Source organism: Homo sapiens, chromosome 2, assembly GCF_000001405.40.
Source record: "Homo sapiens chromosome 2, GRCh38.p14 Primary Assembly".
Classification (NCBI taxonomy): domain Eukaryota; kingdom Metazoa; phylum Chordata; class Mammalia; order Primates; family Hominidae; genus Homo; species Homo sapiens.
Window position 1 is genome coordinate 109,433,221 of NC_000002.12, and position 14,303 is coordinate 109,447,523.

Below are 14,303 nucleotides of genomic sequence, written 5' to 3' on the forward strand. Positions count from 1 at the left end.
ATATAGACGTGTGATATGTAAAACACTATATACATATATGCAAAGGAAAAATGATATCTTCCCAAAGGTCAACGATTGTTGAGTGGTCGCATTGTGGTAATATATTTTTTTCTTTGTGTTGTCAGTGTTTAATAAGTTCTCAGTTCTACTACTTTTATCAAATAGAATATGTAATTTTAGAGTCACTGAAGAGACAAGGGGGTTGTCTGGGAATTTTTCGCTGAGATGAGGATCCACAGCTTGGTGATATCAGTCAGCCTCACTCACAGAAGCCCCTCGTGGGCACGGCCCTGTGTTGACACTGCAGGACACACACACAGAAGCGAAAGACGTGGCCTTGGGTTTCTCCTGTCTTTGGAACAAGGCTACAGTGGAAATAAATAACCTGTAGACCCTGCATTGATTGCTGGGCTGATTGCTACTTGCAGAGTGGTCTCGGGACACATGCGGTGTTGACTTGAGCAGCTCTAGTTCGCAAGGCAATCTTCAGCCAGGGCCTCTCTCGAGGTGCCCAGAAGCGGGGGCTAAGGGATGATGGAGTTGCCCAAAGCCTGAAAGGTCTGCAGGCACAAGGCTGAAGGGGCAGTTAGAGATCCTTCGCTCAGGTGATGCTCAGCAGGGAAAAGCTTGAGAAGCAAACTGCAGAGGGGCTTCAGGAAATGCACCCCCTCAAACCCAGCCACCTGGTCAGAGGGGTGGCTACTTAGAGGGTGAGCTGCCCACAGCCTCCTGCGGCTTCTTCAGTGGTGTGGGGTGACTTGCCCAGTGTGCGCAGCCCCGAAGAAGGTCTCTGGTCTGGATTTCCCATGCCAGTAGGAACAGGTTGGCTCTCTCAGCCTGCAACCGGCCTGTGCTTGAAGCCCCTGGCCTGGAGTTGGGCTCACCTGTCGTGTCATCAGATGGCTCTTCCAGGAAAGCACAGGTCACCCCTCTAGGTTAGGGGACTCCCTGACCAGCTGGCACCCTCCAGGAAGGCGCAGCCTGAGATGGCGGGTGTCCACACCTCTGGGCTCGCCCGCCCTGCTGGGGGACATCACTCTGTCACACGCCCTACTGTTATATGAGGAGGCAGGTTCTTCCTCCATGCAGCAGGTTAGAGCAGCAGCTTCTGAGGGAGGCCATCGGCTTCCCAGTTTCCAGTTTCTCTCCTCTGATTCTTCCTTTATCTTTACCTGAGAACTTCCGCAGACCTTCAGAGATGTAAAGCCTGCGGTTGAAATCCAGCTTCCTTGCGTAGCATTGGGACATCGCCTGGCCGGGCAACTCCTGACGTGTGTCAGTCAGTGTCACCACAGGGAGCTCTCTTAGGCGCCTCCCACCCCCACAACACTGGACTGCCTTCCACCCTCTTCCTGCTTCTGAGTTAAATCCCTGAATATCCTTCAAGAGCTGGGTCCTAAGTCCACTTGCTATATGAAGCCTTGCCTGGAGGCCCTCATCCTTGCCTGTGCTGTAGTCGGGATGGACAGCTCTGCCCACGGTGTCATCCCAAGCAGCCCACTGGCAAGTTCTACAGGCATTCAGGATCCCCCCTCACAGGCCAGTCCCTGGGCCGCAATAGCCATCTCCAGCCTTGTTTACCTGGCTCCTTGCATACCATGTTCATATACGAGGTGCTCAATAAATGCAGATCGAATCAATAAAAGAAATCTAGTTGTTCTGATCAAAATGTCTCCTCAAGAACTGTCTTCTCCTGCTGCCAGGGAGTTTGTTATGGGAAGATCCTCCAGCTCCTGACACTGGAGCACTTAGAGTGGCCCGGTCCCCTCCCTCTACCTCTGCTGTGCACCTCATGGTTGCTCACTCTCCTCAAGCCCTCTTGGTCTGTGTTTTCCAAAGAATGGCAGAGCCAGGAATAAACATTAAGGAAAAGCCACTCCAAATCTAGCCCCGGTAACTGCAGTGTCAGGAGGTCATTGAGTGTCCTCTCCGGTTCCTTAGAGAAGGAACTGCGCCCGGGTCGGCTGCCCCCAGGTCAGTATGTTGAAGGCCATGGGTCCCTCAGTCCAATCCATAGCTCAGCACAAAACAGGAAATCTGGCCTCGGTCTTTATCCCCAGAAGTGGAAGACACCTGTCCCCCTCCAAAGCTGTGCCCCCAGGACTTATACTTTCTTGATCCCTACTGGGTTCAGGACAATTGCCAAAGCCACACAGCAGAAGGCTTATCTGGCAGTGATTGGAGGGTAGGCGAAGGCCTACTCCTTCCTGCATAGACCTGGATCCACCACCTGTGTTTGCCCCCATCGTGCTAGGAGGCCCTGAAGTGCTGGTGGGCTCTCGGGGCTGGGAGTATAGTGCTCAGAGCTGAGCATTGTGAGTCCATTTAAAAACCTGGTGTGGGAGCAGGTATGTGGCTCTTCCCGTGAGGGCACGCACTAAGGAAGTAGGACTAGCCAAGGGTATCTCTGCCATCCTGCCATGAGGGCAGAGGGAAAGGGTTTTCTGCTGTCATGAGAGGCAGATGTGTGTCTGTATCTGTTGTGTTCAGACTTGTCAATATCACCTTGCAAATTAGTGACTCATCATTTGTGAGCCCACTTTATTTAGTTTTTAAAAATGATTTCCTCGGGGAAAAGTGAGCTCAACAGATGATAGAAAATGGGATTTTTAAATTCATGGTTTTGGCTGACCTGCTAACAAGCTTGATTGCTGGGTGAAGTTCAGCACAGCTCTGAGGGCTGGGGAAGGAGGACACCACCCAGGGTCCCCTAGCAGGTGAGTCCTTTTCCAAGAGGCCCCTCTCCTCTCAGCTGCTGTGCAGAAACCCTCACTCTGTGTTGCCGGGAGCTTCCCTGCTAGAGGTCGTGCCCAGTGATACCAGCCACAGGGAGATGGCTGGACCAGGCACAGGAGACGGGGCAGGCAGCCTGTTCTCCCACCTGTGGCTTCTTGGTGTGTCTTGAAATAAGATCCTGAAGGGACAGAAACAGGAATTTACCCAGCTCTTGGACAAATGGAAGACATTTAATTCCCCTGAAACTGAATCCACAGAAGCTTCCAAACCCCTAACTCTGCCATATTTCACATCGCTGCCTCCAGGACATGGATTAATTGCAAATACACAGAGGGAAAGCGTGAAAAGCCCCATTTCCAGAGTGTTCCTCTTGTGTGAGCTGATGTCATCTGGAAACTTCGGAGTGAAAGGGCATCTATTTCTGGTATGGAACTGCAAGCTCCCAGACATTCTCAGAAGGATGTCGTGCTGTGTGTGCCCTTTCCCAGCAGCCAGCAGATGCGAGGTGGCAGTCGTGCCCAGAGGGGGCCCGCGTCCTTGCCATCCTTTCCCCAATGTGCTGGATGTGTCAAGGCCTCGCGGGACATGACTGAGTCATCTGTTCTTTCTGGATGTATCTGGAGACACACAGCTGTTTGTAAGAACAAATTAAGGCAGTAGCTGTGGTATAAAAGATTTCGTTCAGCTCATTCCTCTGTTTCTCAGGGCGGCTTTGCTATCTCTTAAATATTTCACACTGACAGTTTGCACCCCATGAAGGTTTTGTAAACAGGGCCCTTCTGCCCAGTGACGGGCATTGTTTTAGGACCTCGTCCCCAGATCAGTTGGCCTTCATCTCTTAAAGCCAGCAGGTCAGAGCGAGGCTCTGCCAGAGGCCCACATGGCACGAATGCCTCTGAGCCTCTCATCAGAATTCCTTCTGCTTTCTCTCCACAGGGTGCCTGCAGGAGGGGCAGGGCCGCCCCGGAATAATGTAGTCGGAGGGTCTCCACTGGCCAAAGGGATAACCACAACCATGCACCCAGGCAGTGGGAGTCTGAGCAGCCTGGCCACTGCCACCAGGCCCGCCCTGCCCATCACCACTCCCCAGGCCCACGCCCAGCACCCCACAGCCTCGCCCCCAACAGGCAGCTGTCTACGGCACTCAGCCCAGCCAACGGCCAGCCAAGCCCGGAGCACCATTTCAACAGGTACCTTCACAGGGGCCTCACCCTGCAGGGCATCAACAAGGGGGCTTCCTGGGACATGCTTGTGAGACACATCTTGGCCCAAGGCTCCAGCAGTGCATGTGTGGCTGGTGGCAGCTTCATGGCAGCTGGAGAAACTTAAGGAAAACCGGTTTGGCCCCAGAATGTTGTGAGATGAAAAGAAATTATGGGGTGGGCCTTAAAGGCATAAAGAAGGTAAGCACATCTTGTCATGCTCGTGAACGTCTGATCTCCAGGAAGTTCACTTGCCTTATCATGTTACCCATCCTGGCAGCTGAAGTAAATTTACAAATATTTACACATTTCATTGTGGCAAGAGGGCCTCATAGACTAATAAGATTAACACCGGCACTTTCAAATGCCTCCCCCATGAATGATTGTGGGCCGGCCACGTGGGTCTTCCATCTGCCGGGCCCTGCAGGGCTTCCCAGCTAGGCGGCATCTCACAGGACAGGGCTGGGGTGAGACTCGGGCCCAGGCTCTTCCCTTTCTGAAGTGCTCTGAGGCAGGAGGAATGACAGCTGTTGATCCTTCGCCTTCATGGCAGCTGGAGAAACTTAAGGAAAACCGGTTTGGCCCCAGGATGTTGTGAGATGAAAAGAAATTATGGGGTGGGCCTTAAAGGCATAAAGAAGGTAAGCACATCTTGGTTGGTGGCTTAGTGTTGAGCTAATAAGAACTGCTGATGCTGGATTCGCAGGATGATCTGGGAGCCCATGCCACGGCGTCTTCCACCACGGTGGAGCCAGTGATGCTGACATGATGCCAAGTACCCCAGGACAAGAGGGGATAACACAGAATCTCTCTTCCCACCCCAACCCTGTCCTCTCAGAAATCATCTGTTTTTCTCAAAGTGAGGCTTAAAGGGCAAAAATAATGTAAATTCATGGAAGCAATAAAATATACTATTTCTTAGACTAACGAACACGATGACCCATTAGAAGTGTCCAGAAAGCAGCTTCTCAAGTGTGGAAAGAGGAGACAACACTTAGGTCAGCAGAGGCCATATTTCCTTCCTTATCTTAGCTGATGGGACAAGGGGTGGGAGGTAAGTGTCTGTCATCCACTTGCCCACCCAAGTGGGTGCAGGGTAGACTTCAGGTATCCAGTGCCCAGCATCGTCACTGGGTGCAGGTGGACTTTGAGTGCCTGGTGTCTGGCACCATCAGCAGGTATAGGGTGAACTTTGGGTGCCCAATGTCTGGCACCATCAGTGGGTGCAGGTGGACTTCAGGTGCCCAGTGTTCAGCCTTGTGCTGGTGGTGTACCTGTCAAGCAGTGGGTAATTTAGCACTAGGAAAGCTTCATGGGTGGTCTGAGGACTACCCTGGTGTCAGAGCCTTCAAGACCTACTCTGCCATCTCAGATTCTGTAAGTCTCTACTAGTATCTTTTTTACTTAAATCAGCTAAGAATGATTCTTGGTTTTCACACCCCTGGCTCCAGGGCCCTGGGAAAGAATCTGCAGCAATATTACCTGGTGCCCAAGCCCACCCTGCAACCCATGACCTTCTGATCAGCCGTCCTTCAGCATGGTTTACGTGGATCTGTGTTTTCTGGTAGCCTCTAGCTGGGGATACAGTCATTGCAGTTGGCAAGTGATCTGGTGATCTGAAGTTGTGCTCCCTGACTGGTCAGAGGCAGCCAATATGCTGATCTGTTTGGCCACTGGAGCACCCAGGCAGGACCAGGGGAGCAAAAGTCCCAGGCCAGGTCCCTTCTGGTTATAAACATCTCATCCAATCAGCCCGGTGTTCTGTACAAATGTTTCCACATGCACCAGCACTAGAAAGGGTGAGTGGCCCCACTCATCACGGTGAGTCAGCATCCCAGTGCAGTGGCCCTGGGTTGTCTGCCCAGAATAGCCAGTATAATGGTCTTTCCACACCAAGCCTTGCTAGAAACGTTCCCAATTCAAAGAAGAAATGGAGCCCTGCCAGTCACTTCTCCCTCTGTGGAATAACAAGCAGGATCAAAAGAAATTGGCAAGGCTGTGGGGCAGTGCAACATTGTGTCTCAGTCCTCCATCACCATAGTAACCATGAGGGTGCCACGAGCATTCTCTTCCATCAGTTTAATGTTACACACGGGGAGAGTGAGGCACGGGATGGTTAAACGGCTCCCCAGTGCATCCCAGCCCAGCACTTGTCCCCACGCTATTGCTGTCACAGCCAGGTTAAAGAATGACTCCTACTGAGCCATATCAGTAAATTAAATGCCACTGAGTTCCTGCGGCATTTTCCACTTCATTCTGCATTTAGAGAGAGAAAAAACACTGTTGACAGTCCAAGTAATGGATTGTTCCCTGCAGTAATTGCCCATTTCAGCAGACCCCAACCCCGATGGGTGGGAGGCATTTCATCAATGTTCTCATCTCGAGCCAAAGTCAGGCAGTTTGACAAAGGCTTAATTGCATTGGCCATAGCATCCAATATGATTTGTTCTACTTGATTAATGTAACTCCTTTCCCAAAGGCAGAGCACCCCCTGTAAAGTGCCAGTGTTCCTTGCACACTCCTGTCTGTGCTTAGCAGGAGTAAGAGCCCAGCATAGCCATGAATTCATCAGCAAAAAAGCACCGAGAAGGAGCTAGATACAGGCAAGGCACCCTGCAGGGGTCTGGAAACAGAGGAAAACCAGACAAGCCCCATTTCCACCCCGGTTAGAGAGAATGACTAGAAAACAAAGTTCTGTGGTGGGTTTGCTAAAGGGCTGCAAAAGAGGCCTGCTTAGGTATTAAGAGAGTGTGGAGGAGGGAATTCATTCCGACTGGGGAGGAAAATAGGAGGGGGATTGGGAGTAGGGCATATGGAAAGTTTTCAAGAGGAGGTGATAATGCCTTGAATCTTAAAGGACAAATAGGAAGTGTCTGAGCAGACAAAAGAGAAAGGAGGTTCAGAGCAGAGGAACCAGCATGAGCAATGGCCTGGCAATGAGGAATAGCATAACTCTTGTTTTGGGGAACTTTATTTAGTTGTGACATGACTGAAGCAAAGCTATGGAAGAAGGAGAAGTCCAGTGTGTAGATGACAGTTCCCTGCAGAGGCATACTGTCCTTTAAATCTGAAAGGTGGGTAGAGCTCAGCATGCAGCAGTAGGAGAGTGTGGGAAGCACTCAGGAAGGGGAAGCATGGGGAGCTCTTGGGCCGCCGAGGCCAGGGGCCCATGGACGCTGGAATACGGATAGGGTGCGGGAGCAAAGAAAGACCCGCAGTGAAGCCGAAAAGCTAAGCAGAGCAGAGCATGGAGGTTCTTCTAGACCACGTAAGGAATTTAGATGTTTATCCTAAGGGGGCACATCAAAGGGTGTTGAATAATAGACATAGTCATATTTTTGTATTTAAAAGATTGAGCTAGACTTCTGCTTATGGCCAATCTGAAGTGATGAGGACAGGAATTACTCTCCCACATGAAACAAATTTAAAAAGCCAAGTATATAAAACAACAGTTTTCAAGACACCAGACAACCAAGGACTGATTCATGAGAGAAGTTGCAGGCAGTGGCAAAAGGAGGCAGGTAACCAGGTGGAGGAGCCCCGAGGATGTGGAGATCAGAGTTTGTGTGACAGAGAGGGCTTGAGTTTCCAGGGCAGTGACCAGAGAGGAGAGAACAGCACAGAGAGGCTGCAGAGCACGCCCTGAGATCTTCAGGTGACAACTCATCTGCATATGAACATGAGAAACGTACCCAAAGCCAGGAAAAGAATCAAAGAAAGAAAGGATTAGTGCTAACAGTGCCCAGAATACACACCAGCTGGAAATAGTGCCTGTTCCCACCAGCCAGACGGAAAAATTGCAGAAATCACCAGGCATTGAGTAATCTACACAGGACCTTGCCTCTGTAGTGGTCAGACTGAGCACTGTTCCAATTTCACCCAACAGAGCTCAAAAACAACACTCAAGAGTCAAACTATTTCTGATTAATTTATCTTTGTCCCAGAACAAAGCTTAAGAATATTTATAGGAATACAAAAAAAAAAAAAATTCCAGCTCTCAACAACATAAAAATCACAATGTCTGATGTCCAATAAAAAATTATGAGGCATGCAAAGGAGCAGGAAAATATGACTTATAATGAAGGGATCAGTCAATCAATCAAAACTGACCCCAAATTGACATAGATGTTGCAAAGACATTTAAAAATGATATTACAGTTGCCTTTCACATACTCAGAAAGTTAAGTAGAGACATAATAGACCCAAATCACACTTCTAGAAATAAAAACTACAGTGTGTGAGATCAAGAATATACTAGATGGAATTAATGGCAGATTAAACATTGCTGAAGAAAAAATATTTGTAAACTTGAAGATATAGTAATAGAAGCCGTGGAAAGTGGAACACAGAGATAAAAGACAATTTTGAAAAATGAATGGAATCCGTGAGCAATGGGACAACTTTAAGTGGCCTAATATACGTGTAATTGGAGGTCTCCAATGTAGAGGAGAGAGGTAGGACAGAAAAATGATTTGAAGAAATAATGACCAAAATTGTTCCAAATTTGATGAAAACCACAAACACAGTTTCAAAGACAGTTGGTGAACACCAAGCACAAGAAACATGAAGAAAACTGTAACAAGGCAAATCACAATCAAACTGTTCAAAATCTCTCATAAAGAAAACACTGAAAACAGCCAGAGGACAAAAAGATACATTACATGAAATAGAAAAAAAGATAAGGGTAAGGATGATGTCAAGAACAGTTCAAGTGAGATGACAGAATAACCAAAAAACATACTGAAAGAAATATAGCTGTCAATCTAGTACTCTACTCCCAGCAAAAATATCTTTCAAAAAAAAAGCAAAATAAAGAATTATTCAGAAATAGTAAAACTAAAAGATTTTGTCTCTAATAAATCCACACTATTGGCCAGGCACAGTGGCTCACGCCTGTAATCCCAGCACTTTGGGAGGCTGAGACGGGTGGATCACGAGGTCAGGAGATTGAGACCATCCTGGCTAACACAGTGAAACCCCGTCTCTACTAAAAACACAAAAAATTAGCCAGGCGTGTTGGCGGGCGCCTGTAGTCCCAGCTGCTCAGGAGGCTGAGGCAGGTGAATGACATGAACCTGGGAGGCAGAGCTTACAGTGAGCCGAGATCGTGCCACTGCACTCCAGCCTGGGCAACGGAGTGAGACTCCACCTCAAAAAAAAAAAAAAAAGAAAAAATCCACACTATTAGAAAGGTAAAAATGAAATTATTTAGAAAGAAGGCAGATGATACCAGATGAAAATGAAGATCTATACAAAGGAATGAAAAGCACTGGAAATGGTAACTACATAGATAAATATATAAGATGTTTTCTTATTATTTGAATATCTTTAAAATATAATTGACTGTTTAAACAAAAGTGAAAGCAATCTAGTTTGGGATTTAAAACTCAAAAGCAAAATGTACAATAAACAAAAACACAAAGTTTGGGAAGGGAGAAGTGGAAGTTTGGTATACTACTGTAACATTCTTATACTATGAATCTTTATGTTATGAAATCATTTGTAAATGACTATAATAAAATAAAGATGTAAGCAGTCACTAAATATGAAACAAAAAGTTACAGCAAATAAGCTAAAAGGGAATAAAAAGGAATCATGAAAACATCCAAAAGAAAGCATTAACAGAAGGGAAAAGAAACAATACATGGGTCAAAGAGAAAACATATAGTAGGATGGTAGGTTTAAACCTAATCATGTAAGTAATCACACTAAATGTAAATGGCCTAAATAACCCTAAATATAATTCAGAGATTGTCACATATTACTAAAAACAAACAAAAAACCAACGATATGCTGTGAGTAAGAAACATACTTTAATACTTCAAGTCTAAAGACATAAATAAGCTAAAAGTGAAGGGATGGAACAAGTTATACACATTCTCATTATTCATGGTAGTTACATTCTATGAAGTTATCATGAACACTGAATTTGTGAATACTGAACTATTGCTTCTAGGTGAAATTGTGTGTGGCATGCGTGCATGGGTGTGTACACATATCTCACATAAATTATCATCTTATTCTAGTAGATTCTATTTTATTTATTTGACAAAAGAGAAAATGAGGTTCAGAAGGATTAAGTGGCTGACCTGAGGCTGCCCTATTAACAGGTGCCAGAGCTGGGATTCAAATACTGTCCAACTGGCCTCAGAGCCAAAACTTTCTGCATTGTACTGTGTTGCCCCCTATCGGCTCTATCCTCCTGTCATCTCTGTGTGACGCTGAAACAAAAATCGCCTTGTTCAACCTCAGCTGGGAATATGAGTGTCAGGCAACTCAAATTTTTGCCATTCCATGAATGTCTGAAAATAACTGAAAGCACCACAGATAATGACTTGGGGGTTACAAATCGTTTTTCACTAGTAGAAGAATTTGCAAATACAGAATCTGCCAATAATGAGAATAGATTATATGATGCTAATATTAATCAAAAGAAAGCTGGAGTGGTTATCTTAATCAGATAGAGCAGAATTTATAAAAATTATTAGAGATAAAAAGGCAATTTCGTAACAATAAAGGGGTCAGTTCATTTAGAGGACATAACAGTTCTAAATATTTATACACCAAGTAACAGAACTTCAAAATACATAAGCAATATGGATAAAGGTACAAGGAGAAATAAACAAATCTACAATTATGGTCAGAGACTTTCATGTCTCAATAATTGATAGAACAGTTAGATATAAAATGGTAAAAATTTAAAACATTAGAACAACAGTATAATCAACTTGACTTAGTTGACGTTTGTGAAACATTCTACCCAACAACAGCAAAATGCACCTTCTTTTCAAGTGCACACAGAACATTTACTGAGATAGATTATGTACTGGGCCATGATATTTTTAAGTTTCAGCACATTTAAAGGGATTCAAGTCATGGAAACTACATTCCCTGACCACAGTGGCATTGAATTAGAATTCATTAATACAAATAATAACAAATATTTGATATACTCAAATATTTGAAAACTAAACAGTTTACTTCAAAATAACCCATATATTAAAGAACAAATCAAAAGGGATATTATAACGCATTTTGAGCTGAATGAAATGAAAAAGAACAGTGAACTTGGGAAGCTAACACTGATTTAGAGACTTCTTAAAAAATACAGTAATTAAGTTTATGTGATGTTGTTGTAAAGATGTTTGTTTTTAATATTTAAAAAGTCAACTCTGTGGGTCTATATAAAATGGAACACACAATAGCCAAGTGCTGAAGCACTGGCCTACTGGCTGTAGGATAAAAAGCAGGCCTTGTTGGGTGACTTTCAACTCCTGCAGGAGAATATGGACAGGAAGCCCCTGTGAGAATCAGGGGACCAGAGCTAGGTGTGCCAGTTCTAAAAATTCCATCATTTTCCAGGGGATGGGCCATACTAAGCCTCCACCTGGGGTGTGAGAGAAAGAAGAGAGAGCCCCAACCCTGGTCATGGTGCTGAGTTTGAGGATGGCTCTGGCCTGAGGACTAGGACTAGCTCAGCACCCTCTCTGCAGGACCAGAACTCCAAGAAGCCCATTAAACCTAGTTCTAAGGGAGGGTCCTAGAGGCCAAGCAGCACTAACAACAGAACTGCCAGACCCAGAAAAGTAGACAAAGAGCCGCAAGCTCAGGGTGAGCTGGCACATTAAGATTTCAAAACACAAAAGGGAAACTCACACATAAGTTAGCCAATAAACTCAAGAGATAGGAGGAAAATAAGGGAGAAATCTGAGAGCATCTTTGAAATCAGTATGTTTAAGATCTAAGAGGAAAAGAAGGAATAACATATACACACACAAAAAAGAAAAACAGGAAGCTATGAAAAAATAGGTGGATGGCTATGAATCAGAAACAACTGGATATGAAAAAGAACCAATTTGAAATTTTGGAGAGGAAAAATATATATTTAAATACAAAACCTCTGTAGGTAGCATAAACTCTAGACACAGTTGAAAGTGGAATTAGTGAAATTGGAAAGCCATACAGAGGAATTTATCCAGAATACAGAGCAGAGATGAAAAATGTGAAAGAGATGTATAAACATGGAGGATAGATTGAGGAGCTCCAAACTACTTCTAACAGGATTTTCATAACTAGAAAATAGAAGAGATGGGACAGAGAGAAGATTCAAAGGAGTAGTCCCTGAGAATTCTCCAAAATTGAAGAGGGGCTCAAGTCCTCACACAGAAAGCACAAAGAGTGCTGAGTAGGAAAAATAACCAAAAATCCAAGCCTAAACATGCTGAACTTAAACTTAAAGCATCAAAGGATAAGGAAAATACTACAAAACCTGCCAGAGGGCAGATACAGATTACTTACATAGAAATGAATAAAAATATAAGAAAGAGCCAGTGTACACACTATTTCAAAAATATTAAGTGTAAAGAAAAATGGGAAAAGGAGGTACTAGCTAAAAGAGGACAAGGTATAGAAGGAAGATTATTTATTAAATGGGAGAGACAACTGGTTAATAAATTATGGGGGAAAGCTAATAAAGAGGCTAAATATATGAGAGAAGGGATGAGCCAGAGAAGGTATCAAGGATGTGGGTGAAGGCGTTGACCTGGTGGGACCCAGAGTCCTTGTGACTGGAAGGGAGGGGTGTGGGGAAGTAGAGAGGGGGGTTGGCTTGGAGTTGTGGGAGTTCCATTTCATCCCTGAAGTGGGAAGCGATACCCCTGAAAATAAGGAAAGGACAAAGCTGGTGATGCAATAGATCATTTATTCATTCCCCTATCATTTATAAAGCACCTACAGATACTAGGGACATAGAATGAACTGAGTGAGGGCTCACAGTCCTTGGAAGCTGCAGCGGGACTGAAACACACCAAAAGTTTAAAGAAGAGAGGAAAGGGAAAAGCAGGGACCATGGGTGGTGCTTTCCTAAGCAGCCTTCATCTGTCAGCTTGACTTCAAAGAAGATGTGGGCTACTTTGGCATCACTAACGAGTAGTCCCAGCCAGCTCGGGGTTGGGGCACCCGGGGTGGGTGAAAATAAGGGTAAATCCTACCAGAGATGAGCACACTCTTCACCAGCCAGTGTCATGACCTGAGCTGTGCCTTGCTTTCTCACGCTACAGTTTTTCTTCTCCAGTGGTTCCATTCTGTGAAATCGGAAGTGACATGGCTGGGGTTCTTTTTTCCTCAGAGACTCACTCTTTTATTCAAAAAATGTACAGAGCACCTTCTACATGCCAGGGACCATTGCGGGCGTTATCGTGAATTAAGCAGCCATGTCCCCACCTCATGGAGCTCCGTTGCACAGTGGGGACAGGCAATGAATAATCAGCCTCCAGCGAACATGTAAATTACACAACTGTGAGGAGCTAAGAGCCTTGGGAGCAAAGGAAAGCTGGAGCTAGAGCAGGAGCAGGGGAGGCTGAGGCTGCAGGGTCAGGCAGCACCGTGAAGGTGGTAGGCAGGTCTCTAGAAGGTGGTATCTGAGCCTTCCAGGCACCCGAGGGTCCCACCTTGCAGCTATGAGGGAGGTGAGGTCTATGGGCAGGGGTGCTGGCACTGTGCCTCTGAGGTGACCAGGAGCCAGTCCTATTGGCAGAGTGGCCAGGAGGCCAGTGTGGCTGAGGGGAGAGTATTAGGAGGTGAGGTTGGAGCTTGCTGGAACACACTCCCTCTCTTCTTTGGTGCCTGGGATGAGCAAAGTAGTGCGGCAGGCGAGGGGAAGCCGGCCAGGAGGTAGAGGCCAGCCACGCACAGCCCAGGGGCACAGACCCTGGTGCAGTCCCAACGCCGAGGGCCACAGCGCTTCCCTGGCAGGCTGTCACCCCCCTTCCAGGGACCCTGGACCGAGAGAAGGGGAGTCAGACAGCTGAGGGGAGAGACGAATAAATCTCGAGGAGCGGCCTCTGAGTCAGGGTTTCCAGGGTGATTAAATGACCCGAGGCCCCTGGATCTGCGTGATTGCCTGACCTGCTCTCCTTGTAAATGTGGAGCTGTGTTGGGTTAGGATCAAATGTTTCAAGTTTCCAACCCAGCTGAAGCCCTGAATATTTAAAAAAAAAAAAAAAAAAAAAGAAAAGAAAAAGAAAAAGAAAACAGAAAAAAAAAACCCACATAAATCAGCCTTTCTGTATTTCACCTCGTAGAAACAGCAGGCTGCCTAAGTCCCGGAGAATCTGGGATCACATAATTAGATCTCACCAGCGCTTCACACACGGCTGTGTCAGAAGAAGGCCTGACTCCCAGATGGAGAGCTTTGTATGTCTCACGGTGCTACTTCCCGTGGCCTCCAAACGCTGTTAGGATTAACGAGTGCATAGTTGGGGGCTGAGAAGATTGTTTTTATTGCATGTATTTTCTTTCATGCTCTGAAGCCATGAATGCCACAAAGTCTGCTGGTAGAAAATGATTACAGTATGACATAATTTT

At 46.0% G+C, this 14,303-nt stretch overlaps 2 protein-coding genes across 5 annotated transcripts in view, besides 1 other annotated feature; both read left to right on the forward strand.

The window, feature by feature from the left end:
- The window catches only part of RANBP2 (RAN binding protein 2), a 1,122,820-nt gene that overhangs the window by 713,739 nt on the left and 394,778 nt on the right, over positions 1-14,303 (forward strand). The gene's annotated exons all lie outside the window — the stretch shown is intronic.
- The window catches only part of SH3RF3 (SH3 domain containing ring finger 3), a 375,430-nt gene that overhangs the window by 304,016 nt on the left and 57,111 nt on the right, over positions 1-14,303 (forward strand). For all 4 annotated transcript variants that reach the window (NM_001099289.3, XM_011511109.3, XM_047444144.1 and 1 more), the window contains one exon: positions 3,673-3,926. In NM_001099289.3, coding sequence (NP_001092759.1) covers positions 3,673-3,926 — 254 coding nt within the window. The remainder of the gene's footprint in view (positions 1-3,672; positions 3,927-14,303) is intronic.
- Positions 13,579-14,078: an enhancer, noted in NCBI's record as "H3K4me1 hESC enhancer chr2:110063255-110063754 (GRCh37/hg19 assembly coordinates)". NCBI's record gives its function as "activates a minimal SCP1, AML or CMV promoter by ChIP-STARR-seq in naive H9 embryonic stem cells {active_cell/tissue: H9 hESC(naive)}" and the evidence as "EXISTENCE:reporter gene assay evidence [ECO:0000049][PMID:30033119]".